Genomic DNA, 27,998 nt, shown 5'->3' on the forward strand with positions numbered 1-27,998 from the left:
AAAGGAGATAACAGTGATGTCACAGATACTGATTTGTTCCTATTTGGCTTTAAGAGATAGCAGGCAAAATATCCCTGCCTTTCTGGTTTCCTTACCTTTTTGCAAATGTGTATGACTAACAAAGAGAAACACATAGGAAATATAGACAGGTAGGGAAAGTTGAGACAAGTTACAGCATCAATTTTCAAAAGAACTTGTTAAATACTTCATTGCATGTGCTAGGTTCTGTGCAGAAAATAAAATAGGTACAATTTCCTCTTTATGAGGACTTACAATTTACCAGCCACTGTGCTGTGGTGAAAACATTTAGCAGCAATTTGGCAAGCATTTGCATAAATGCTCTGTAGAAGACCTGTGCTAAATACTGAGGATTTAAGACAGGTGAGGCCTAGGCTTGTCCCTCAAGAAACTCATGCAGAAATGCTATGTAATGATGTGGCAGTGCTGCAGCAAAAAAAAAATGAAATTAAAAGTGCAATAGGAACCAGATGAAAGACAATTCAGTACGTAAACATGAAAGACTGCAGCCAAAGCCCACAATATGTTAATGAAGGATAGGAAATGTATTTTTAAAAATTTCCTGTATGACCTATTGTGGAAAGCTTTGGCCAGATCTTTTGCACGGAAATCTTTAGTAAGTCCAATGATACAGTAACAAGTGAGAGGGTGCAGATTGTGCTGAGTTACAGGATGGAGGCTGGGGCTGTGAACCTCTCTAAATAGTAATTGTAATCTGTGGACTGTGCCAGTTGTGCATGCACACACAACCACATGATCACCAAACTTCTAGAGAGCATCTGTATGGAGCAGAGGAAGGTGAGATGAAGGAGCTTCATTCACTTTTTTTGTATCTTTGATCTTGAGGACATCTATTGTACTTTTTGTTTGCTGGCTCCCCATCTAATCTTGGAAACTGGACTGACCTTTGAGGTCTAGCATAGCTCATCTGTGGTGGGTTTTGGGGACAAGGTAGGCAAGATATGGTTGGAGGCAGAGATGACTAGAGAATATCGGACACGGACAAAACATGGTGTCACCTTTAGATCAAGAAAGGAGGACTTTGTGGTGAGTAGGATGTGAGTTGTTTCCTTAATTGGATGAGGGTAGTAGATTTCCCCCCTTTTTGGTTGAAGTAAGGAAGAAAACCCTGGTTAACAGGGATGAATGGGGGAAAGGAGATGTTCTTGGCCCAAGCATAGGGATCAGGTGCAGCATAGGCCTAAGGACAATGGAAGCATTTGGGCATCATTGAGCCTGGTTTGAGTGCAGGTTATTCAAGGGCAGGGATGCACCATTGTGAAGGGAGGTGGAAAGTGCTGATCTGGGACCTGATACAATGGTATGATGACCATAGTCTTACATTAGAAACAAAGGACACATGATTCGATGAGGGACTGTATCTGAAGATGAATAGGAAAGAGACAGGCAACACAGGCAGGGCATGTGATATTAGTAATCACAGCGATAAAATAACCAGAGAGTGACTCTATTAAAAATGGGGCTTCTAGTGAAGTCTAGATTGTAGGGGGAGAAAAACTATTGTTTTATATCAATCAAGCAACATCTACAGACGTTCAAGCTCTCTGGATTGCATTCGCTGCTTATTATACTGCTTTATCAGGTTTCCAAAGGTCCTGGTTGCACATTAACCTAGAAATACACAAAAGCCAAATTCGGTAGCTGGTATGGTGAAAAGAAGATTTTCTTTTTCATGTGTTGTCTTGAAGAGAGTCTGAAGGGGCTCAAATGATTCTCACATGCAGTCCTACAGTATAAAGGGACTTCCTGATCTTTAAGCATTTTCCTCCCTTATTCCTATCCCCTCTTTTTGTCTGACCCTAACTCTAAACATCTTTAAGAAAAGCACTTAGAAAAATATAAAATAAAAGCAGCTGGGTGGGTGGAGGTGGAGTGTGCTTTGGTTGTTCTTTGTCAAAGCTGCAGGCATTAAGTGAGCCAAGGCCTCACAGAAAGAGCTCTCTCTTGCTCAAGTGTCTGTGGATTTTGCTCTGCACCATTTCTTTGAAAATCTCCTTGACATAACCCTGATGTTTCTTCTTTCTCTTGCCTGACTGCAGCTGTACCTGACTCTTATTTTGTCACTTGCCAGCGGCAGGAGCTAGCAGATACATTTTACTAATTTCAGCTGTTTGGATTAGTATCACCATAAGTGGATTAATATGGATTTCATTAAAGAACCCTAAAGACTCAATCAAGGCCAAAAACTTCAGTCGGCCAAATCTACAATTCCTTATGCAACCCTCACTGATAACAAGGCTGCACCCTCCATTGCATAACCACCAAATAGACAAAGGATGGCAGACTTTTCATAAATACATATATCTAGCAATGGCCAGCACAGTGGTCCTCAATGTTCAACTGACTGGAGTGCCAAAAGTAAGAAAATGCTAGAAAAAAAAAATCTATTGATGAGAATATGTCAAAGGGACACAGGGGCTTACTGAAAAAGCTCCCAGTGGCTAAAGCTGGAAAAATTTGAGCAACAACATGAAGTAATATCGATTTAAAACCAAAAGTATGATATAAAAAAAAAAGAGAAAAAAGAGAAAATAAATAAATAAATAAAACCAAAAGTATAAAATAAATATCCACGAGTCATACTGATATAAATAAGTACTTGAATACATAAATAAATGGGAGAGAAAGACACAAGTCTCCTGTGCAGATAAATTCCAAATAATTTATGTAGGTTCTCTGCCTTCAAGGGATGGGATATAACTTCCCACTCCTGATGTGTTGGCTACAGGGACTTTCTTTCAAGCATACAATATAGAAGAGCTGGGGGAAGAGTAACTTTACAGTGGGGAAACCTGATAAATGCTATCTCAGCCAGGTGATCAAGGGTCAGCATCAACAGTGGTCAGTCATGTTGATGGTGTGTACCCTTGAAGTGATGTGACGAAAATGGCACTTCACTTAGGTGGTCTTTCTTCTAAAAACACACAATTGCAGTCCCATTATGAGAAAAACATCAGAGAAATTCCAATTGAGGGACATTCTAAAATACGTATGACAAATACTTCTGAAACTGTCAAGGTCGTGAAAGACAAGGGAAGTTTGAGAAACTGTCACAGCCAAGAGGAACCTAAGGAGTCATGATGACTAAATGTCATGTGGTGTCCTTAATGGGATTCTGGAACAGAAAAAATAAATCTGAATAAAGTATGGTCTCTAGTTAATAATAGTATATCAACATTGGTTCATTAATAGTAACTATACAAATGTACCACACTAATAATGCAAGACGCTAACAATAGGGGAAACTGAGTGTGGGATGCATGGGAACTCTCTGTACTATCTGTAACTCAATAGCTACAGTTTTTTTAAAAAAAATAAATCTGAAACAGTTGTAAAAAATAAAGTCTTTTCAATAAAACAAAGCCCACAGATAGAGATTGCTGGCAGTCAGCCGGCCTGGGCTCATAGAGGGAAGCGTGACTAAGATGTGGGCATCTGCACCACCTAATATCTGCAGATGTGAATTACTAGAAGAGTCCCAGGCACCCTTCTGGGGCATTTTGAAAGTTCCCCTCTCTTGCTATGGTCCTCTCTTGGAGAATTTGCAATGCACACTTCAAATCTGTCAGCAGAGAGTGGGCTCTGATTACAGCCTGCACAGTGGCCTCAAGACGGTTAGGAGTCCCATCAGACCACCAAGGCTATCTGAGTCAGAGACGGGGGTGCCTGCCTGTACCGAGCTCTGCTGACCAAGTAGGCAGAGCAGCCCACCAGTGTGTATGGGCCTGTCCTTGTTCTTAGGAAACAACAATGCTACCCACTTCTCTGGGCTATTTTCTTGGGGCTTCACAGGGATCCAATATGGATGAGGCAAGAGGCTCTGCTTTGAGGGTTTCAATGAAATCTCCCCATTCTATCCAACATAATCTGGCAGTTGTAGCTGAGGAAGTCCCCAAACTACAGAACTGAGGAAGGCATCTCAGCTCTGCAGACCCTCACCAGGCTGAGGCTGCTATTTGTAAAATTTGAATATCTAAACAAAAGCAGATGGTGGCTATGCCTTTTGTTTCTGGGCAAATCATGAACAATAGTTTGTGTCTGAATTCCATAGGTGGCCAGGAGCATAGACTTCTCTGCTCATGAATGGTGTGTTTTTGTCAAGACTGACTGAACCCTTTTCTCTAACCATGATTCCCAGGAAAGAAACTGATTAACTTCAACCTGGGCAGCATGCCTCAAAGAAGTCATGTTAAGCACAAGGCATAGTCTATGTTCCATGGTACCGGCCATATTTGGCCACTAACCAATACATTTGAGAGTGGCATATACTTCCTGATTCTTCTAATTTCCCCTTTGAATTTTAAAATTAGGGGGCTGTTTCGTGGCCAGAAGACAAGGTGTTAGATGGCAATTAATGTAGGCCAAAGGTTCCATCCCTTTTCCACATTAATTTTGGGAAAAAATGCTTTTATGTTACATGGTGGCCCTCTATCAGACTAGCATAAAACTACAGTAATTAAGATGTAGGCCAGGCGCAGTGGCTCACACCTGTTATCCCAGCACTTTGGGAGGCCCAGGCGGGTGGATCACCTGAGGTTCGGGAGTTCGAGACCAGCTTGACCAACATGAAGAAACCCCGTCTCTACCAAATATACAAAATTAGCTGGGTGTGGTGGCACATGCCTGTAATCCCAGCCACTGGGGAGGCTGAGGCAGGAGAATCTCTTGAACCCAGGAGTCGGAGGTTGCGGTGAGCTGAGATTGCGCACCTGCACTCCAGCGTGGGTAACAAGAGCGAAACTCCGTCTCAAAAAAAAAAAAAAAATTAAGATGTAAACACAAAGCATTAACAAAGAACATTGGTACTTCCTGTCTTGTCCAACAGAGAGTCCCCTTACTAACAGAAATGAAAAAAGCGGGCCTTGGAAAAAAGGAATTATCTCTGACTTTTTGTCTAGTCCATCATGATAAGCAGATATCATCAATGAAACTTCATTCCTAACTGACTTTGTTCTGGGCTTTCATATATGCATAAGTTAGCAGAGAAGAAGAGTTAATAAAGGATGCCAGGCTCTGTACCTATTGATCTGAGATTGGGATTTACTGCTGCCTGGAAAGTTCTACCCAATTTCAGCTTCTGCAGTGTACCCAGCAGAGAGAATGATAAATACCACTGTGCCATTGGGGCTGTCACTTTAGAGAGTGACATGAATGATGATAAAAGACAAACACAAATTCCAGAAAAACTTGGATTGGTTTTCCTGTCAACACGACTGAAATGGGAGATGTGAGACTATTGATAGAAAGCACTGAGTGTTCCTGATGCAATGTTATATAACAATGACTATGCTGTGCGAAGGTACATTTCACTGTCTCTGGAAAACAGGAATACATTCTCCTGGGGAACCTGCTTTTAGAAAAGATTCTTGTATTTTCCTTCCAAGGGAAATGAAAGCAGAGAGAGAATGGAATTTGAAAAGCATCAGAGAAAGTTTAGAACACCATCAGAGACTACAAGATGGTGTTTGAGAAATCCTATGACTACTCTATCCTCCTCACTGCTTGAAAGAGATGATATCATTCAGGCTTTGGAAAGATGGCTTGGGCTATTTTGACCCATCTGATGGGTGACTTAATTACTTGCTTTGCCTGTTGCCTGATGCAGTCAGCAATACGAAATCGTCTTTAGAATAGCTAACGGATTATGTAAATAACAAAGCCAAAGGCACTTTAAGACGTGTTACTAAAGCATGCTCTTTATTAAGTTAACTAATGTATGTAAAGAGTTTAGAACAGTATCTGGAATATAGTAAGTGCTCAATAAATGGTGGCTATTATAGCAGACACTATTTTTAAATTTTTAATTTTAAGTTCTGGGGTACATGTGCAGAATGTGCAGGTTTGTTGCATAGGTAAATGTGTACCATGGTGGTTTGCTGTACCTATCAACCCACCACCTAGGTATTAATCGCAGAGTGCATTAACTATTTTTCCTAATGCTCTCTGTCCCCCCACCTCACCTTCCGACAGGCCCCAGTGTGTGTTGTTCCCCTCCCTGTGTCCATGTGTTCTCATTGTTCAGCTCCCACTTATAAGCGAGAACATGCAGTGTTTGGCTTTCTGCTCCTGTGTTAGTTTGCTGAGGATAATGACTTTCAGCTCCATCCATGTCCCTGCAAAGGACAGGATCTTATTCTTTTTTTATGGCTGTATAGTATTCCATGGTGTATATGCGCCATATTTTCTTTATCCAGTCTATCATAGATGGGCATTTGGGTTGATTTTATGTCTTTTATAGCAGACAATATTAATGTCCTGCCACATATTCCTTGGCCTTCCTCTGAGTTTGCCTGCATGTGCCTCCTAGTTCCTGTGCACATCAACAGGTGCCCATTTTGAGTGCTGGGCTTCCTTGGTTTCTCTGCCCAAGGGCCTCCTTAGCTACCAGTGGAGCTTGTACATTTCTTTGCGGGAGAGGCTAGAAATGCTGGGGCAACCGTCAACCCATGAGAAATGGGACCTGATGAATAAGTACCCCAGCTTCCATGTTCTTAGGTGGGAAAATTCTGAGGAGTGTTCTATAAGCTTCCTAAGAGGATCCTCTTCAGGATTGAACTCTAGTTGCCCACAGCAGAAGGCTGCTCATTAAAGCACCCTTTCCTTGTCTTTTCACTATTTCTTATTTCACTTTATCAATTATGCTTCCTGGGATCACCCCTCAAATAAAATGCCCAAACCTCAGTTGTTTTTCACAGTCTATTGTTTTGGTAATCAGAACTGAAAAAGTATTGTTGGCATTAACTGCTGCTAAGTATGGGGGCCATAAAAGGTCATGGCAGAAAAATTCATTACAATATTATGTAATATGGCTACACAATGATTTATCATTTGAAGACAAATAGATGCATGCCGATTTTTGGATTTATAGAAAATGACCAAAAATTATTCAAGTAATAAAAAATAGGCTTTTGGAATAGTAGCTATAGCTGGAATTAGCCTCCCTCAAAAAGCTCATGTTTACCAAAATGTAGAAAGAAGTAGTGGCTACGTGGTAACATTTACAGCAACTCTTGTGCTCACAGTTCATCATCTTTATTGTGTTCCAACATGGACAGCAAGACATGTCCAGTATGCATACACAGTGGCCTGCACAATTGTATTTGCTTCATGAAAAGAATAAGCAAAAAAACTGTTCAAGGCTTTTAGTTCAGTATAAATTCATTCCTCTAAAGGAAAATGCCATCCTAAACATTTTTTTACTTGCAAAACAATCTTCAAGCTATAGAGCAATTTATTTTACATGACATTTACAGAAAATCAACAGAAGTAGCTTTTATAACGTGTGTATCCACAAATCACGTTTCCTTGCTATGGTTACGCATTGAAATCTCTTGAGGTCTCTTCTGGTGCTGCCTCTGGGAGAAGGCCTTTAGAAATGATTGTTTCTGTTCACGTAAGTATCCTTTTCTCAATGGAAAATGTATATTATTCCCTACTGGGGTACCACTGCTTTCTCCACTCCCAGGCCCCCAAAGACAGTATTTGACAAGGATTGCTACCTTCTGCCTTAATACCTTCATAGTCTCCAACATTTCATATGGTGCTTTACTTGAAACAAATGAGCAAAAATTGAAAAATGAAATAACAAACAGGAAAACTGAAGTAGTATGTAATTTAACTGACAAAAATAATTTGAACATGAAAATGTGGGTGAGTTCAATGAGTATAATTATAACAGAATCTTGAGATTTCATAACAACATTAGCATCCAGCCTTAGCACACTGTTATTCCAAATGACCTTTTCCCCCTTCCCATTCACTCCCTTCAGTACTTGGAGGATGGGTTTCATAATATCAGCTGAGCTCAGGGGTACTGTGGGCTCTCACACAGTGATGCTTAATCACAACATCACTTCTCCAGCCTAGGATATTGCTGTTTACCCTTTAATGCTGGTCAACAGAAGACAGATGGTAAGCAATCACTTTCTAATGGCATGTTCGGAAATCATTATATTTAAAATGTTAATTTATTAAACTTTTTTTTTTATTCCAACTGAGCCTAGATCTTTGATCTGGAGGATTTATAGGTTATGAACAAGGACACAATGGTTACCAAAAAGAGGATAAATTAAAAGAAGTTTTCAAATGAGTAAGGTGGTGTGAAAGGGCAGAGGATGTGCTGTCAATGAAATGTAGGTGAACACAGAGTTTAGTTGTGATGAACATATTTTGTCTACAGTAAGCGAGGCATCCAGAAAATGGTCTATAAGAAAGTAACTCCCAAAGACAGATTTTTGAGTGTCCACTGGCCCAAAGAAGGCAAGGATCTTGCCAGAACTTCCCACATCAGCTAACCTTTCTGGTATTGTTAATAGCCTTAAACACACAAAGCCACCTTGTGCAAGTGAACCGAGACTGCAAAGATTCTTAAAAAAAAAAACTTTTGTATTTTTTAATAAGTAGAGACGGGGTATCACTATTGTTGCTCAGGCTAGTCTTGAACTCCTGGCCTCAAGTGATCCTCCCACCATGGCCTCCCAGAGTGCTGGGATTACAGGTAGGAGCCACAGCATCTGGCTCAGATTCCTTTTGAAGAGTTTGGCCACAAGAATTATGCAGAGGCCAGGCACAGTGGCTCCTGCGTGTAATCCCAGCACTTTTGGAGGCCAATGCAGATGCATCACTTGAGCTCAGGAGTTTGACACCAGCCTGCCAACATCGTGAAACCCCATCTCTACTAAAAATACAAAAAATTAGCTGGTTGTGATGGCATGTGCCTGTAGTACCAGCTACTTGAGAGGTTGAGGTGGGAGGATCACTTGAGCCCAGGAGCTCAGGGCTGCAGTGAGCTGTGATCATGCCACTGTACTCCAGCCTGGGTGACAGAGTGAGACTGGGGGAAAAAAAAAAAAGAGAGAGAGAGTTATGCAGAGACGTTCAAACTTGAGTTACAGGGGGAAAAATGATTCTTGGTAGCCACAAGGGCCTTCTCAGGACAGTAGGTCTCATTAAATCAGGGCTATTTTTTATTGTGATAGAATTCATATAAAAATTTTACCACTTTAAATCAGGGCTTCTTACTCTTTTCTTATGCCGTCGACCCCATTGGCAATTTGGTAAAATCTGTGGACCCCCTTCTCAGAATCATGTTTTTAAATGCATAAAATAAAATACATAGAATTTCAAAGGAAGCCAATTACTTTGAAACTTTGTTATCAAAGAATTTTAAGAATCAAATATGTGAAACTGATATATGTGCTTCTTAATTAATCTATTAATAGCAAGATCTAGCAGGCAAGACTAATAACTAGCATAATTTTAAAGTGGTGATGAACAAAGAGAATATTTTGATTCAGCTGCAACAATTATGGGGTGAAAATATCTGTGTCTTCTCCTGGTGGCAAGGGTCTCAGGTACAGATAATACTGCTGTAGGTTGTTGATTAGATTATTAATAGAAGCAAACACTAAGTTTTAGTTAGAGGTTAGTGCAAATAAAGTAACATTTTTCTATCCAAGTTTATGAAACCCCTGAACTCTTGTCACCAGATTAGGAACCCCTGCATGAAATACAAGCTCCCCTGCCTCCGCCCAGTTTTTGGTTAAGTTTGGAAGCAAATAATAGAGGGAGGGTGAAGTAGTTGGAGCCAAGAGGGACTCAGCCAGGAATCGACAAGGTGAGGCCAGTGCAACCATAGTGGCAAGGTAACCACAGGGCACTTTTAAGTCAGTGATGCCTACTCTAACTCAAAAAGTTGTTTTTTAATCACGTAGTGTCAGTCATTTCTATGTTTCCCTCTGAACGCTTCAGTAAAGTCAGGTATATTCCAGAATGTATTTTGGGAGTGGCCTTTCCATGGCCCTTGAGGAAGGGTCTGATTTACACACTTGAGAGGCAAAGGCCACTGATCACCCAGGCAGACGCAGGAATTCTCAGGGATCACCAAAGTTCTGGGGAGGGCTTTGAACTTCTGTTGCATACAGAGCTGGGGGCTTAGGTTGACCTAGACCCCCAAAAAACAGAGAGCCCAGATGATATCCAGTTGTACTTGGTTTATATGGAATAAGTATTAATAGAACTACAGGAGGTGTGGGACAGATCCAGTGAGACGAACTGCCTTCCCTTCCTCTTCAGCTAATCTCTGCAGTCTGGAGTATCTATTTTCCAGTAGAGTCAAGGGCTGTAAACTAGGATTCTAGCTAAATGAAGAGCATCATTTTGCCTCCTCTGACCTTACACAGAAGTCGCTGCTTGCCTTTGCATTTGGATTGCTCCAACTATCATTTGCTTACTGTTCCCAGTCATCTTATCTCGGATGTGAAAGATGGTGACACCACAAGCAGAGCTCTGTCATGGATTCCAGGGGCTGAGTAAGGTGGTGAGGTGTAGTGGTCTACACCTTGCACTTTGGATCTGATCCGAGTTTGAATCCTGGCTCTGCTACTTGCCTTGGGCAAGTTTCTTCACTTTTGCAAGCAACAATTCTCTCCTGTGTAAATTGAGGAAAACAATTACACTTGATTCATAAGGCTTTTGTGAGTATTAAACCCAATAATGTGTGTAGCACCTTTAGCGTGGTTTGTAGTGCATAGTAGGTGTTTAATAATATAGCTATGGCTGGGCGCGGTGGCTCACACCTGTAATCCCAGCACTTTGGGAGGCCGAGGCGGGTGGATCACCTGACGTCTGGAGTTCAAGACCAGCCTGGCCAACATGGCAAAACCCCATCTTTCCTAAAAATACAAAAAAAATTAGCCAGGTATGGTGGTGGGTGCCTATAATCCCAGCTACTTGGGAGGCTGAGGCAGGAGAATTACTTGAACCCAGGGGCGGAGGTTGCAGTTAGCCAAGATTGGGCCACTTCACTCCAGCCTGGGCAAAAAAGTGAAACTCCGTCTCAAAAAAAAAAAAAAAAAGTAGCTATGTTTGTTGCTATTAGTATTATCATTATATCACACCTCACTATATAAGAGAGGTTAGCCCTATTTTTTCAAATGTTAGTAAAAAACACAGACAATTTTTCCATAAAAATTTTAAATGTTCACAATAATACCTTCTCTCTACTCCAGTTCCTACCCATATACACCCCCACCATTTCACTTCCTCATCCCCTTTCTCCTCTTTGCCTTTCTTCACATGACAAATGTTAACTTTTTTCAAAAGAAACAGGTTTTTTTGATAACCTATTCTCATCCTCTGCCTCCTTATTCGCTATTGTAAACAGATGCATGCATACACACACTCTCACACACACACGCACACATATTCCTCTCTCCCTGCAGCAAGAGAATCAAATCCAGGCCTCCTGCCTGGAACTGCAGAACATTACCATCAGGCTGGTCCATTAAATATCATTTGAAAGTCAATTTTATCCCGCAGTGGTAAGTAGTATGCGTGCTTCTGTCTTCATCTACCTTAATTAGGAAAAGCAATTTGCTGCACATTTCTTAAAAAAAAGAAAAAAAAAAGCTGATCAAATTTGAGCTCCTGATAGATTGAAACACAGTGTATGTTGTGGTGGTGATACAAAGATGTGAAACCACTTCCCACATCTAAATTATGGCTTGGTCTAAAAACAGTCTAGCCTTATGACTCTCGTGTTTTCTAAGTAACTTGTGCAATTGCCCATAATTATGGAAATAGGGGCCATCTCCTGAAAGCTAGCCCCTCCTCATTTTGTTTCCCAAACCGAGAATAGAAAACTCCATTTTGAGTCTATCATTGGAGATCTTTCCATTCCATCATATTTTCTGTGATTCGGTACCATTAACAATCTCAAGACCATTTTTGCACATCTACTTATGCCAAAATGGTTAGAGCAGCTGAGAAGCTACAGCTCCGTTGAAGGCGGGTCTCTGCTTTGCTCATTTGTTTCTTTTAACTAGCCCAGGCTAATTATAACTCACATGGGTACCTCTGACTTGAGTTTTCCTGGTATATGAGGAGGGTGCCAGTGGCAACTTAGCTGGCACTCCAATGGCCTTGGAGTGTCTGGAGAGCTGCAGGGACAAGCCCATTGGAAGTCTTTGTGCTTGAGGAACTAAGGAGTATCCTAAGAGGGCACAACCCCTCAGAGAAGGATGAACCAGGGATGAAGCAGCCAGGCCTAAGGAGCGTGGCCTGGTAAGAGAGCTTTGGACTTTAGAAGGGAGGTGTGATTATGAGTACATGCCCTGTGGTCATTGGCATGCTAAACTGACCCCTGTGCAGCCTCTGAACCCCTGTTTGGGTCCTGGTGAGAGATGAACTGTCATTCTTGCACCACTGTCTATATTCCATTTGCCAGGAAGCAGCCAGATAACTACTTCCAAATCATAAATCAGATCACTCCTCTGCTTAAAAACCTTCTATGGCTTTCCACTCCACTTAGCAGTAAATAAAACTCCCCTTCTAAGAGCCTACAGAAAACCGACCTAAGCAGATTCTGCTGGCTTCTCCCACCTCATTTTCACCCCTTTGCCCTGAGTTTTCAACCACAGAGTCTTCTTTGTCTTCCTTAGCCAGGCCCGTTCTCACTCTACTGCCTACATATTTGCTATTTCTTCTGTCCTGATTACTCTGCCCTGGGGGATCTCTCTGTATCCTCCAGATCTCAATTTAAATATTACCTCCTCAAAGAGTCATTTTTCTGAGCCCTCTGTCTAAAGTGGCTGCTGTCTCACGCCCTCTCATGCACCAGTAACTCTCACGTATCATTCTCTTTTGTTTTACTCCTAGTCCTTATCACAGGCAAACATGATATTGCTTGCTTATTAATTTATTGTTTGTCTCTTACCTCTTGAGTATGGGGTCTGCCTTAGTTAGCTTCCATCTCAGAAGCAGAGCCTGAGACAAGGGTTTGGTGCAGGTTCTCTATCTGAGAAGATAGAGAGCCTTTAAGTATAATATTACAGAAATAAAGGGGTTTGGTGTAGGAATCAGAGCTTACACAAATATGGAAGGTTGCAGGGGAGTGAAGATCAAAGAGACTGAAGCTGGAAGGTCAGAGAAATGGCCCCCGATGACCTCAGCCTGCAGCAAAGCACTGAAATGGTTGGCTCTCAAAAGTTCTCTGGGAAATTATGTCACATCTGTCTTCTATAACTTTCTGAAAATATTAGCCTCTTGGCCTCTCCTAACTTTTGCCTTTCCAATCTCACTTAGGTTCCTCTCATTGGCAAGATGTCTTGAAGTGTGTCTGGAACTGTTCACTGTAGCCATGTTGGGATCAGAAATGAGTCTGAATGGATATGAGGTGCCTGATACAGAGATACTGCCTGTCTTTTCATTTCTCTGCCCCAGACCCTGAAATAGTGCCTGGTGCACCATAGATACTCAATAAGTGCTTGCTGAGTGGCTGATTCACAAAAGGTCTGTAAATAAAAACTCACAGAGTTGTGTCATTCAATTTGGGAACCCAGCAGCATCCAAGCCACCTTGCTATGGGACCCCTTTAATAGAGGGTACCTCAAAAATCTAAGAGGCATTCACTATCTATTGTTCCAGACAGTTGGGCTCTGCCAGTGCCTCAAGGTTCCAGGCTTTAATGACTGTGCTCAGTGGATAGTAATAGAACAAATACGGCTAACAGCAAGGGGTGGTGGATAGACATAGAGATATCTGAGCAAACTTGTTCATGAGCACGTGTGAAACAACCCTGGGACCTCCTAGAACTGCTATGGATAGGGGGAGCGGTGACTAAAATGTCTGCTATTATTTGTAATATAAGTCCATCAGGACCATTGGCTTAGCCAGGAAAAACTCAAGTAATAACAATATCTGTAAGAAAATGTGTCATGAACATAGCACTCAAGGATGGGGCACATTGCTTAAAAGTTCAGAAACTCTTAGCATAGGAACTACCCATGAGATTCCATTAACCAGTACAAAATTGTACTGGCTAGGAAGAGGGAGGAGGCTGTGAGTTTAACAGTGTTGTTCCTGCATCTGTTGATAATGTGGCCATGGAAGACAGCATGAATCCAGAGGCCTAGGGCCTGAAAGAAATCAAGTGGTGGAAAGTTGCATTAGAATTTAAATCAAACAGGGAAACCAAAGCATGAGTCATGTACAGGGCAGAGCATTAAAAGGCCCTGTACCTCTGTGTAGTAAGCATGAGCCTGCTGAGGTCTGGGGATTAGTTGATGAGATAGATGAGTGCTGTTCCATGAATTCCATAATGGAAATAGATGCTGTCCCAGAAGTTATTCAGATAAGATGTTTATAAACATCTATGTAGTGTACAGCTACTTTAATTCTCAGCTTTTACTTGAATCCTCCTGGGCATGAAGACAGCTCTTCATCATTTTGAATATGCTATTTCTATGTTCATTCATTCAACAAATATTCATTGAGACCCTACTATGTGCCAAGCAATTAGTTAAGCACTAAGGATGCACTGGTGAACAAAACAGAGCTTATATTACATATTTATCCAAAAGAAATAAAAGCATACATTCATACAAAGACCTATAGACATATGATCAAAGCAGCTTTATTTATAACAGACTAAAACAGCCCATCAACTGGAGAATGGATCAACTAGCTGTGGTACATCCATAAGACAGAATGACTCAGCAATAAAAGGAAACAAATTATCGGTAAATGCAATCACATGGATGAATCTTAAAAGGTATGCTAAGAAAGAAGCCAGGCACAAATGACTACACACTGCAATTTCATTGATATGACCCCATTCTGAAACAGGCAATATTATAGGAACAGAAAGTAGATCAGTGGTTGCCAGTGGCAATAGAGGATTGACTGCAAATGGGCAGAAAGTAACTTTTGGGATGTTGGAAGTGTTTTATATCTTGATTGTGGTGGCAGTTTTATGACCGAATACACTTATCAAACTCATTGAACTTTACTCTTCAGTGTGGACTGAATGCTCAAAAGGCTGCGTATTACTGTATGTAAATCGTACCTTAATAAACATAACTTAAAAAAAACCATGATAGTCTGTATTCTAGCAGGGTAACAGACACTAATGACTCAATATATAAGATGCATCAGACCCACTTGTGCCCCACAACACTTCCTGTCAGCCCACCTCTTATTTCACCTGCTGCTCCAGGGGACAGTCCCCTGCAAACTTGTGCTTGTCTCACATTCACAGCATCTCTCCTCAAGCATGCACTCTATGCATTGTTACTTTCAGCTCTGGGGCTTCTCCAACACCTTGGGAATTTTTGGCCTGCAGGCAAATGCAGCCTGGATGTGGGGTACATTAATTACCAGGGGTAAGCTCAGCACTTCAGGCTGAAATTTCTAGGAGGCATTCTGTATACTTTTCAGGAGGTCTCAATGGAACTGAGCCCTCATGGCCCAAGTGGCAACATTATGAAAGTACCCTTGCATTGGCCATTGGCTTTTTCTCCTTCCCTGCCTCACTTTCCCCATTTCCTCACTCCTGCTTCATGGGATAACCTCCCCTAATAAACTATCTGCACTGGAGTCCTTCTCTGAGGCTCTGTTTATTTATTTGTGATTTCAGGGACCGAAACTGAGACATATTGTAATCTCAGATGATAGAAAGAAAAAACAAATAGAGGAGATAGAGAGATAATAATGCTACAACAGATAAGGTGAGGAAAGATAACTATGAAGTGAGGACTTCTGAGCAGAAACCTGAACTCAGCAAGGGAATGAGCAATGTGGCTTTTTCGGGGAAGAAAATTTGGGGCTGAGGAAGCAGTAAGCCTAAATATGGAACATTCTAGAAATGTCAAAGAGTTCGCTGTAGCTGGATCTCAATGAGCAAATGATTAGGGCCTAGAGGTAGTAGGGCAAGGTCATGTAGGATTTCATAGGCTACAGAGGGGATTCTGGACTTCATCCTGAATGATTTAGAAACCAGTGGAGGGTTTTGAGCAGAGGAATAAAATGATCTAAGTGTTCAAAAAGACAATTCTGACCGTTGTGTTATGATGAAATTGTAGGAGTTATTGGTGGAAGTAGGGAGAACAGCCAGAAGTCTGTTGCAATAGTGCTGATAAAAAATGATGGTAGATGAAACCTTGGTGGTCATGGTAGTTTCTGCTGAAAAGTGGTGATCCTGGATAACTTTGCAATTATAACTGATAGAATTTGCTGATAGATTGAATGTAGAATATAAGAATAGGGAGAAGATTCAGGATCGATACCAAGATTTTTGTTTTGAGCTATCTAAAGAATGGTATCATTTATTGCACTGGTTTGGGTAAGGGGAATAAAGATCCTCGTTCAAGCCATGTTAAGTTTGAGGAGTGTAATCTAAGTAGAGATTGTTGGGGAATCAATTGGACATACAAGCTAGCAGGTCAGGACAGTTGCCAAGGCTAAAGAAATAAATTTGGGAACTGTCAGCAAATGGCTAATATTTAAGGCCCTGAGATTCAGGATGAGATCACCTAGGCAGCAAGAGTATACAGAGAAGAGAAGAGGTCCAAGGACTGAATGCTCCGTCATTTATTTTAGAGGTCAGGAAGATGAGGAGTAACCAGCAAAGGAGACAGATATGGTTTGGCTCTGTGTCCCCACCCAAACTGCATCTCGAATTGTAATCTCCAGATGTTAAGTGAGAAACCTGGTGGGAGGTGATTGGATCATGGGGGTGGCTTCCCCCATGCTGTTCTTGTGATAGTGAGTGAGTTCTCATGAGATCTGATGGTATAAATGGTAGTTTTCCCTGCACTCTCACACACTCACACTCTCTCCCGCTGCCTTGTGAAGAAGGTGCCTGTGTCCCTTTCTGCCATGATTGTTAAGTTTCCTGAGGCCTCCCTAGCCATGTAGAGCTGTGAGTCAATTAAACTTCCTTTGTTTATAAATTACCCAATCTCAGGTGTTATCTTTATAGCAGTGTGAGAACGGACTAATACAGAGACTAAGAAGGGAAATCAACAAAAATAGGAGGTGATCCAAGAAGGGATGGTGTCTGGAAGGCCAAGAGAAGAAAACATTTCCAGGAGGAGAAATGATGCTGATGGGTCAAGTTAGGGAGAAGCCTGAAAATTAGTCTTGGACTTAATTGTAGGGACCATTGGTGATACTAAAAGTGAAGTTTCAGTGGGACAGTGAGGATGAAAGCCTTGTTAGAGTGAATGCAAGAAAGAAAAAAGGAGGAAGTAGAGCAAGTAGAAATAACTTCTGAGTTTTGCTGTAGAGGGGAGCAGAGGAACAAGGCAGTAAGTGGAGGGAGATATGGGGTCAAAGAATATTTTTATTTCTGTTTTTGTTGTGTTTTAGATTCATAATATAAGAGTGAGTTTGTGTGCTGGTGGGCGTGTTTTAGCAGGATGGGCTAACTTCATGGCGCAGCAGCAGGCAGGAGGGAAGTCTCAGTAGGCTGGGAGGGGACAGGATCTGATTAACATACAGATTGCTTTGGCTTTAGAAAGGAGCATGGATAGTTTATCTACTATGTCAGAAGAGAAGATGAAGTATATGATCACAGAGGCAGAGAGGCTGGGATATATGGTGGAGGATATGGAAGTTCTCTTCTGAATACTTTTGTTAGTGAAATAGGCAAGATCATCAGCTAAAAGTGAAAATGAGAAAGGGAGTATCGAAGATTGGAGGAGAGAAGAAAAAGGGTGATAGAGTTGTTTTAGAGACTGAAAGGATAGACTGACTAGGGAAGTGTAGTGGGACTCTAGGCGGCATTACAGACCTACTTCAAGTTTGTGGTCATGAATTTAAAGTGAGACCAGTCATCATGGAGCTGCCTCAACTCCTTGCTTGCCGGTGCCAAGGAAGTGGAAAGGTGGATTTAAACAGCATAGGGATGTGAAGGTAGGAGAAAGAGGTGAGGGAATTGAGGTGGTTGAAGTGGTAGGAAAGGGAGTGGGTGTTATGATGGGATCAAAGCCAGGTAAGAAGGGAAGCAAAGCTACCAAAGGGGTTAAGGGGAGTGAAAAGCTGGTAGGATCAGTGGATAAGAACTCCCAATGAGATTCAAGAATCGTTGGAGTTGAGAGACGACAGAGTAATATGGAAAGCTAGAAAGTGGTAATTGGAAAGTGGGAAACTTGAAACTGAGATATGTTGGGAATGCAGTCACTGGTAATGACAGGTCTAGAGTGTGACCTTGCTGAGTGGCTGAGGTAGGGCAGAGACACAATTGTTGGAGGAGAAAAGGTCAAAGATCTGAGAAGCTGGAGAGTTGAAAGGATCAACTCTGTTGGAGTTTTGGTCATGAATTTGACCACTAGAATTATGATAGCGCCAGTGGTGGAGGAAGTCATGAACCAGGTGCTTAAATATTTAAGAAACGAGGAGAAAGGGGTGACTGGAAGATGTATGACAGCAGCAAGGCATTTTGCGTACTCTACCTGTGATGTTCATTCTTTTGGTTTGTGGATTTTTTGTTCAACCCCTTCCCACCCTTTTCCCAACTAATTATGCTGTGAGCTCATAGAAGGAAGGGACTATGTTGTTATCTTTTTTTGGCAGGTAAGCTAGTGCTTAGACCAGAGGTGTTGGTTACTTGATTGGCAGAGGGAGCAGGACCTTCTTTCCTCAGTCCTTTTTCTAGAATTTCTAAAATACCAGACATCTGTCCAGATGCATTTCAGCCCTTGTAGCAACTGCCCTTGTAGCAACTACATTTCTAAAGATAGCACAGCCAAGTTAACTCCACATTACCAGTTATTTTTAGGGCACGGTCAGTGCCAAGTCTTGAAGTTGAGGAAATAATTTCTTCAAATCTACATAATTGTGGCCAAAGGTTAGGCCTTAGTAAAGCTGTGAAGCAGTCAATGTTGTTTCAAATGCTTTTTAATCTCACTGTATGCAAACTGTAGCACCCAGTTCCCCACTCCTTTATTTCCCCTAATCAGAGCTTTTCAAGAATGACCTGTTAATTCCTGGTCTTCGCCCTGACTAATTAAACCAGCATCATTGGGACAAGGCCCAGGAATCGGCATATTCAATGCTTGTCAGGCATTTCAGTGGGCCATTTGAGAAGCCCTGAACTAAAATAGTGAGTGGTAAGATTGGACCTCTCCCAAGTGTTTTCATATTTTAAAAGTGACCTCTTTAAGGGGACAACACTGTCAAGTCCAAAGGAGCCCATTTTGGCTGGGTGCAATGGCTCATGCCTGTAATCCCAGCACTTTGGGAGGCCGAGGCAGACAGATCACTTGAGGCCAGGAGTCTGAGACCAGCCTGGCCAATATGGTGAAACCCCATCTCTACTAAAAATACAAAAATAAGCCGGGTGTTAGTGGCGTGCACCTGTCATCTCAGCTACTCGGGTGGTTGAAGCACAAGAATCACTTGAACCTGGGAGGCAGATGTTGCAGTGAGCCAAGATCATGCTGCTGCACTCCAGCCTGGGAGACAGGACTCTGTCTCAAAAAAAAAAAAAAAAAAAAAAAAAGAGCCAATCTCTAATGGAACTTGGGGCGCCTGTCAGGATACTATTAAGCAGCAGAGGGCTGGTCTGCAGCTGTTAAATTTTATAAGTCAAGATTAAGGTAGAGAAAGAGATGCTACCAGGTGTACCATGCCTGGCCTTCATGAACTGTGATTATGATGCTCACTCAAGTTTGAGAACCACTGTTCTTCCAACTTGTGAGTCTGAGCAATGGGGGTCCCCTTCCCATGCGACTGAGCTCAAGGTAGGTTGATCTCACTCACTCTGTGGATGTACAATGCTCCCTATGCATGGTAATCTGGGATGTGGAAGAGGTCCCTTGCTCTGATTACTGTGCCAGGCTGCGTGGCTGCAATGGTGTCTGTATCTTTTCTGACACCACTCTGATAGGTAGTTGGACAAAGACTGTTGCATAAACAATAGCTCTTCCTCTCACTCCAACATCCTAAAGTCTCCTCTATGAGTGGTCACCCCACGTTTACTCTCAAAGCAGGTCTAGGGTAACACACTCTGATGTGTCTATACAGCAAACCATTTGTTCTGACAAGGGAGGGTTGCCTCCTGATGAGCTTCGTTAACATTCACCTGTTGGTTTGGATTTCAATGCTAAAAGCTATAGGCTAACACCTCCCAGGTATTGCCAGGGCTATCCCACTATAGCATTAAAGAATGTCACTAATTTAAACAGACACTTAAGTAACATCAAAGTAGCAGTGTCCATCTTATGCAAAGTCACATACAAATGATTTGGAATTACTTCCCTCCCTGCCTCTTTCATTAGTCCAGAAAATAGGGGTTTGATTGAATTACACAGGAGTCTTACATTGGCTGTTGATTATTTTTCAACTTGTTCTATTATTTAAAAGTAATAGAGATTGCAGTTTTATATGATCTGATTTTTATTCAGATTTGTAAGTCATTCACATCAAATTAAAATTCCTATGGGCCCTTTAAAATACCTTGAATTAAAGTTTATTATTTAATAACTAAAGGGTACAGAGGGAATGTGAACTGACTTACTGAATCTTCAGTGATATGGAAATTTCCAGAAGATTCACAGCTTCTCCAAATTAACATTTCCTCTATTTAGCAGACAGCGTGATGATGGGGGGAGGATCCAGGTCTGTAAACCACAATACCTGCATTTCAGTAGGCTTTGCTGAAAGTGAGTTAGTACAAAGAAAAGAACTAGAATACTTGGTCACTGTCCTTAAAGGACTTAGAAAACCAGAGGACAGAGAGAAGGGAAAAGGAGGAAAAAATTAAATGTGTAAAAGGCTGGTAGTTTTAAGAAAGTCACAGTGAATACAAACTCCTGTACCAGCAAAATGTCCAGTTCTAGGGAAAAGATCTTCCTCTGTCCTTTCCCTCCTCCTTGTTTACTTCCTTCCCTCCCCCTCCTTTCTCTTTTTATTCTTCCCCCACCATCCCTTTATCAATGAATCTATATAACTGAGCAGGCATTCATTAAACTTCTCTTGGTCCCGGATGTGTGGGAAGTGCCATCTATCCTTAGACCAGAGCTAGAGGGACCTCTGCCTGGGGCCTGGGGGTTTCAGACCCTTGCTACTGAAAGTGTGGTCCATGGACCAGCAGCATCAGCATCACCTGGTAGCTTTATAAAATGCAGACCTTGAGCACCACCCCAGATTTAAGGCATCAGAATCTTCATTTTAACAAGATCCCCGGGTGATTCTTGTGCACATTAAAGTTTGAAAAGCGCAGTCAGTAAGTCCTCCCTTGACATAATGGATTGATTTTTGGAAACCGTGACTTTAAGTGAAATGACGTATACTGAAACCAATTTTCCCATAGGCTAATGATATAAATGAGAGTTAAGTTCCTGTGGCATGTCACAAAAACATCACCAAATTTGTAAATAAAGACCAAAACATTGAAATAAATGTAAGCCACACATACATTTAAGAGCAATTAATTAAAACACATAGGATAATTATTTACCTACTTATTCCAGTTCAGGGTCATGGGTGGCTAGTGCCTATGCTGGCAGCCGAGGGTGCCAGGTGGGAACCCACTCTTGACAGGACGCCATCCCATTGCAGGGTGCACTCACACATCCACAACTCACTCACTGGGACCATTTAGACACAGCAGTTCACCCAACGTACACAACTTAGGGATGTGGGAGGAAATCAGAGTGCCCAGGGAAGACCCAAGCAGACATGGGAATAATGTCCACACGGACAGTGGCCCCAGCCAGGAATTTTTTTTTTCTTCTGACTAACACTATAATAAAAGGACATTGAATGAAACAATCTTTTAAAAAATTTATTATTTTTGAAACAGAGTCTCACTCTGTCTCCCAGGCTGGAGCACAGTGTCGCAATCACAGCTCACTACAGCCTTGACCGTCCCTGCTCAAGCAATCCTCCTGCCTCAGCCTCCTGAGTAGCTGGGACTACACCCTCAGCCTCCCAAGTAGCCTGGGACTACAGCCACATGCACCATGCCTGGCTAATTTTCATATATATGAAAATTATTATATATATATGTGTGTGTGTGTATATACATGTGTGTGCATATATGTGTGTGTGTGTGTGTGTGTATATATATATTATATATATCTATATTTTTTTTTGTAGAGATGGGGTTTCACCATGTTGGCCAGGCTGGTCTCAAATTCCTGGGCTCAAGCCATCCTCCTGCCTCAGCCTCCCAAAGTGCTGGCATTATAGGCATGAGCCACCATGCCCAGCCCAACAAAACAACATTATTTAACGACTTGCTCTACTATATTAGAGGCCCTTTCTCCAACTGCACCACTCTCTGCCAAGCAAGATTCTGAAAAGTCAAGGGATGTGCCCACCTTTGATAATACCCTCTGGATTCCTGGACCCCTAAATTTCTTGCCTACAAGCCCTGAGCCTGCTTGTGGGGCCTACAATGAACTGACTGTACAGCCAGTTCCCCTCAGTCTGCAGGGTGGGTGTGTCTGTTTAGAGGGCAGAACATGGAGGTCTGTGGAAGGAACTTGGTGAGGCAGCTGAGATAGCCACATACATGGGCCGCCAGGCTCACTCAGTGCGGGATGGACCTGCAGGGGGTGAAGGGTGAAAGGGGATGGCTGAATGTCAGCTCTCTCTCTCTCTCTCTCTTTCTCTCTCTCCCTTTGCTCCTCCAAATTCCAGTGTGAGACTCCAAAGAGCCACCAAACTCTAAATGCACACCTGGCCTTCCAAATTGTTCTGACAGATTATTAGGCAAGATAGAAGGAAATAACTTTTTTTTTATTTAAGCGTTTGTTAGCTTGATATATAACTTTTAAACATTCACACATATGGTGTGTAGGCCTCTGTTTGTACTCTTGGCTCAGTCCTGCAGATGTTAAGGGCGAGCCTGTTCCTGGTGAGATGCAAAGACATCTGAGGCTTTCATGTTTTCCAAGACAGCATGCCCCTCTTTGCCTTCCGGAGATTCAAAGCTAGAGTGGCTGTGCCGCGTCTTGCCTGCCTAGCTCCCTCCCTAAAGCTGCATTCCTTTGTGTGCTTGAAGACTCTTCCTAAACCTCATGGCCTTCTGTTTAGATTGCCTTTAGGATTTCCTTATAGGAGCTATTTGTCCAGCCTTTAACAAACCTTCCTCTGGCTTCCCTTCGATTGCTCCATATCGCTCTTTTTGGGTTCAAGCTTGTAATAGAAGTAGCATTCTATCATAAGCACCTGCCCAATGCAGGGTATAGAACCCAGGGCCTCTAACTCAGCACCCAGCATCTTGGGCCTGATCCCCAAAATTACAATTTGCTAAAGGCAAGGCCCAGGGGTCTGCATTTTGAGCAAACACCCTGGTGACTTTGATGCTGGTGGTTGGCAGGCCACACTTGGAGAAATCTTAGTATGGAGGGAGGGTGGCCTCACAGTCCCTGTGTTGCCTAGTTCCATTTATATCCTAGGTCCTGACTGCCAATTAGCTGTACAGACACTGGTGACTCACAAGTGGCTAGGAGCTCGTGAAATCCCCTGCAGTGAATTGAACTAATATTTATTAGGCATCAGCTCTACATGGAGGAATGTCGTAGGCACTGGGAACCCACTAAAGGATGAGACATGGCTCCAGTCATGAGGAGCTTGGACTCCTTTTCTGTCTATTTACACTAAGTCAGGACTGTCATTAATGTAATTTAGGAATATCTGTTTTGTTTTGTGAGTAGTCCTAGGTTGGAGAGGAAATAGACACAAGACAATACAGAGGAATGATGCAATATCTAATGGTGAAAGAGGATGTACTGACTGTATCTATAGTTACAAAATAAAACATTCTAACAATCCCAACGGCAATTATAATATGTCTGTCTTTATCAAAAACCATCCATTAAAAAAAAAACAAAGACAAAAAAACAGGCCACCAAAAGTGGAACTTTTGAGTTCTTGTGAAAGAATTTTAAAAAAGACTTTCAAGGAGCTATTACTAAGTCTGTACAGCCACACAGTTATGTGATACATGGGGAAATATCTATTTAGATTTCTTATCTGAATAAGAAGGAAACCTTTTTTGTTTCTTTTTAGCCTGGAATTGCCGAACTTGATTATCTGTGTTGTATCCAAAACTCAAGGTAATCACTTGGCCCCAGCCTTCGATATAGCTGGGGTGTGGAATTAGAGATACAAGCAGTATTGTTTTTGTTAAATTCCATGCATAGCCTCTGAAGCCTAGCACAGTGGCTGGCATCCCTGGACAGAGCACAGAAACCCACCTGGACACTGTTGTCAAGGTTTCTCTCACACAGTTCACTGAGGAAGTTAAGAGCCTCTGAGGGAGTTTGTTAACTAAATGCCCTTTAGTCATGAGGTTTATTGAGACTGTTTTTAAGATATATTTGGGGAATTCATGGAATATCTATTTTTTTAACACCCTCCATGCCTACCACACCCATCAGTCCCTGACTTCTATCTCAGAAAAAACAAAGCTGTGTTTATGATTTATTATCAGGCCGGAGCTAATGATTACAGACCCCTCCCAGGCTGCTTCTGGGGAGTAGGGATTCTGTCTGTGCTCACTAGGTGCTTGTGGGGAGGATACATTTCTCACCTAAACTGTGGGAGATCCTCTGCCTTTGCCTGAGAATGACCCAACTGCTTGATTCTCCACTCACTGCTCACTCCCTCCCACTGCCTTTCTTACCTTTATTCAATATGCAGAAGATACCCAAGTGGTCTTAGGTTAAAATTCTGAGCCCCCAAAGCAGATTTCAGAAAGGAACATCATCATGCTTTTGGGATTGTGAAATAAAGCCACACTGGACCTCCACGCAGAGGAACTCTGTAGGCGATCCACATGGTTCATTGCACCAATCATATTCCCTGGCATTTCAACTGTGGGACCACTCAAAGCAGCCGCAAGCCTGGTATTTCTCTCTTTTGTCCTCCATTGGAGAGCATGGTTGTGCCAAGGCTCTCTAGCCAGGACAGCCCATCCTCAGGCCACCCAGCTCCGTGAGTGAGTTCCCTGCACAGCCTGTGACTGACTCACCGATGCAGTGGGGCTGATCTTCACATGGCACCCCAAGCAGGCTTTTCCAGTTCACATCTGCCAACAAGGCAGCCAAGGGGGTGGTTTAGGAAGTAGAGAAAAGGTGAAAAGGCAGCGGAGGGAGCCGGCTGTCCTGTGTCTCCTCTTTTTCCTGCCCCCAGTGACTTGCATTTTCTCTGAGACAGCTGCCATTCTAGTCTCCCAGCCATTCTTAGGAAGAGACGTGCCTGTCTCTGGGAAGAGGCAACTTCTCTGCATGTCAGAGGTAAGGGGAATCATGTGACATGTAGATGGGGGAAGAGTGGGAGTTAGGGGTGGGAGAGGGCCCAATCTAAAGTCAACAAAAATCCTATTTTTCTTCCCTTAACTTTACACTCTGTTGTTTTCCCAGGCTGTGTATTATCTGCACACACACACACACACACACAGACACACACAATGCAGGAATTCTCTCCACAGTGCCCCTTGTTGATGGCTATCCGGACACCTGCCTTAAATACTTCCAGTGATGAGGCTCACTCTCTTCTGAGGCTGCCCTTTAAAGTCCACTATACAAATATCCCAGATACCCACTTGTATGCTACAGGTTCAATGTTGCGAACTCAGCCAGACCAGGCCCTCTGAGGACCACAGGTTTAGACCAAAATGGTTTTGGCCTTTAAAATGAAATCATGAACTCAGTTGCCTTCCGGGTCCACCACTCCCTGGCTTTGGACAGCTGTTAATTCTCAAGGAGCCTCATGCTGGGTCTTTGTATGTTTAATGTAAACAACACCATTGTGTTTCAAATTCTGTTACAACTACCTTTGCTTCCTGTATTTGCTGAAAGTGGTGTTCTTGTTTTTGTTTTTAGTGGGAGTAGGGAGTCAAACTAGCCTAGGTGAAAAGTTTCTAAGTAACTCTGAATAAAGAAGTGCATTTTTCAAATGAAATGAAGGTACATGGAAGTTGGAATCATACAAAGGACATTGGACTTGAATTTGTCCTTAGATACTTAGAGACTGCAATACCTTTTCGCTGTTTTATGTTTAATTTTCTTCTGGTGTTTGTTTTGCTCCACTCTCCTGGAGGCTATTCAGCTGTTTTTTACTATGGTTCTGAGGACATTTCTGTTGCAAAAATTTATCAGCTAGGACCCTTTGCAAGTATTTAAAAACCCAACTCCAACTGTCTTAAGGGGTAGTTAGAGAAAGAGTGCTGGTTTGCATAGTTTGCATAGTTTGCATAGTTTGCATATGGTTGCATAGTTTGCATAGAAGTTCAGGGTAGATGCTGGCTTTAGGTAAGGCTTGATCCAGGGACTCTCGTGCTGTCACCAAGACCCATTTCTGTCCATCTGGAGATTCATCCTGACTCTTCTCCTTCAATTGGCTTTCTTCTCAGACTTCACAAGGCAACAGGGCACTGGCAATAACGTCTCATTATTTTCTCATTTTAAATTCTGCTAGTCCAATCAGAGGGAAGCTACCAGACAGGAGCTACCAGAAAATAACTCCCTTTCTCTTTCTTTTTTTCACACCTTGATATGAGAGGTTAAGCCCTGCCTAGATCATTTGGACTTAAGATCAAGGGAAGAATCTGTGTCCAGATAAAAATCTGGGTTGTTGTTGGAAGAGAGGGTAACGGGTACTGAGAGACAAACAGAGAATGTCCATAGAGAGACAGCCATCAGTTTTCTTCTTGGATGCTGTCACCCCCTCAGTAGGACGCATATGTAAATATACATAAGAAACAGCCAGTATTGGCAGCTACAGCTTCAAATAAAACAGGGACAAATCAGGAGCTTTTTTGGAATGGAACACCAAGAGGAATTTCAAAATCAGTGACAATACTAAGAGGGTGATGGAGGAAATTCCACTCTGGGTGGTGGGAGGAGGAGAAAAATGAGGAGAATCAGAGAACACAGTTCAAGTTGTTTGGCCATAGTATCCTCCAATACTATATAATAATATGAATAGCAATCCTTTGCAATAATGTGTATTATGACTTCAGAAACTACCTAGGTACTTTACACGTATTAATGCATTTGACTCTCACAATAACCCTGTGAAGTCAAAACAATTAATATTGTAATCATCCCCATTTTATAGATAAGTAAATCAAGGACCAGAGAGGTTAAACAACTTGCCCAAGATCACAGAACCAATAAGTGGCAGTGCTGGGATTTAAATCTTGGTGGCTCTTAACTCCCCGTATTATAGTGTCTCCAGTGTATGAAATGAATGCACAGAAATGGCAATACTCTGGTGGCCCTAGGGACAGAAACATGGCTAAGAGAGTGCTTGAGTCATTCTCTAAAGCTGGCAGCCTCAAGGACATAGGAGGATGAGGAACAAGGGAAGGAAAGTTCACTTCTTCATTATAGAAGTAAAAAGGGGATAATTATGTCCCACACAGCACAATAAAGTATCAAGTCTACAGACTACAGTAGAGTAGGTGAAATGTAGGGTGTGGATTAGCAATCAGAAGCCCTGGGTTCTTTGCCAGGTCAACCACTAACTCGTAGTGCAACTGTGGACAGGTCACTTAACCTCTCTGTGCCTCAGTTTTCCCTTCTGTGAATAAGGATGACTGTTGTCTTGCCTCCCTTCTTTTATCATTATGGAGATTAGACAAGATAATGTGAGATGAAACACTTTGTATAGAGAACTCATAATTATGCCTTCTATAGGCACTTAAAAGCTTATTTGCAGTAATTTATGACATTGCCATTGAGGTACTTTTATTTCTAAAAAGCCTATTTTTCTAAAGGATATTATATAGCATCTTCTAGAAATAACTTACCTTTTTAAAATTATATGTTCCATGTAGATAATTTAAAAAACAAAGATGAATACAAAGGAGAAAACAATGAAATCACCCAGAAAAATCTACTCAACATTATTTTTTCAGTTGATTTTCTATGCCTGTCTATGCTTTTTTTAAAGCGAATAATGTTTCAATCTAATATTTTTTCTTACATACATACACTCTTTATTTTTTGCTATCTACTTTTTTCCATTTAATGCATTATGAATATATTTCCTTGTCATTAATCTTTTGCAACAGTGATTTCCAAATTTTCTGACCAGGATCTGTAATAAAAAAATTTATATTGCTACTCAGTAGACACACATACATAAACACACATTTGCCCAATAGTTATCCTTATAATATATTGTGTATTCTGATATTTTCTATTCTATTTTATAAT

The 27,998-nt window shown here is 41.9% G+C and overlaps 2 long non-coding RNA genes across 3 annotated transcripts in view, besides 1 other annotated feature; one reads left to right on the plus strand and one right to left on the minus strand.

Annotated features, from left to right (window-relative positions):
- Positions 1-7,055: 7,055 nt before the first annotated feature.
- On the minus strand, positions 7,056-11,479 carry LOC124905178 (uncharacterized). Its single transcript, XR_007068215.1, has 2 exons — positions 11,309-11,479; positions 7,056-10,468 (listed from the first exon to the last, which is right to left on the minus strand). It is a non-coding gene; the product is annotated as an uncharacterized LOC124905178 (long non-coding RNA).
- Positions 24,642-24,936: a silencer, noted in NCBI's record as "tiled region #8592; K562 Repressive non-DNase unmatched - State 5:Enh". NCBI's record gives its function as "represses a minimal TATA promoter and a strong SV40 promoter by Sharpr-MPRA in K562 cells {active_cell/tissue: K562}" and the evidence as "EXISTENCE:reporter gene assay evidence [ECO:0000049][PMID:27701403]".
- LOC124905177 (uncharacterized) overlaps positions 24,973-27,998 on the plus strand; it is a 148,876-nt gene continuing 145,850 nt past the window's right edge. For both annotated transcript variants that reach the window (XR_007068213.1, XR_007068214.1), the window contains exon 1: positions 24,973-25,070. This is a non-coding gene — a long non-coding RNA (uncharacterized LOC124905177). The remainder of the gene's footprint in view (positions 25,071-27,998) is intronic.

The sequence above is a fragment of the Homo sapiens genome, chromosome X (assembly GCF_000001405.40).
Source record: "Homo sapiens chromosome X, GRCh38.p14 Primary Assembly".
Taxonomy (NCBI): Eukaryota; Metazoa; Chordata; class Mammalia; order Primates; family Hominidae; genus Homo; species Homo sapiens.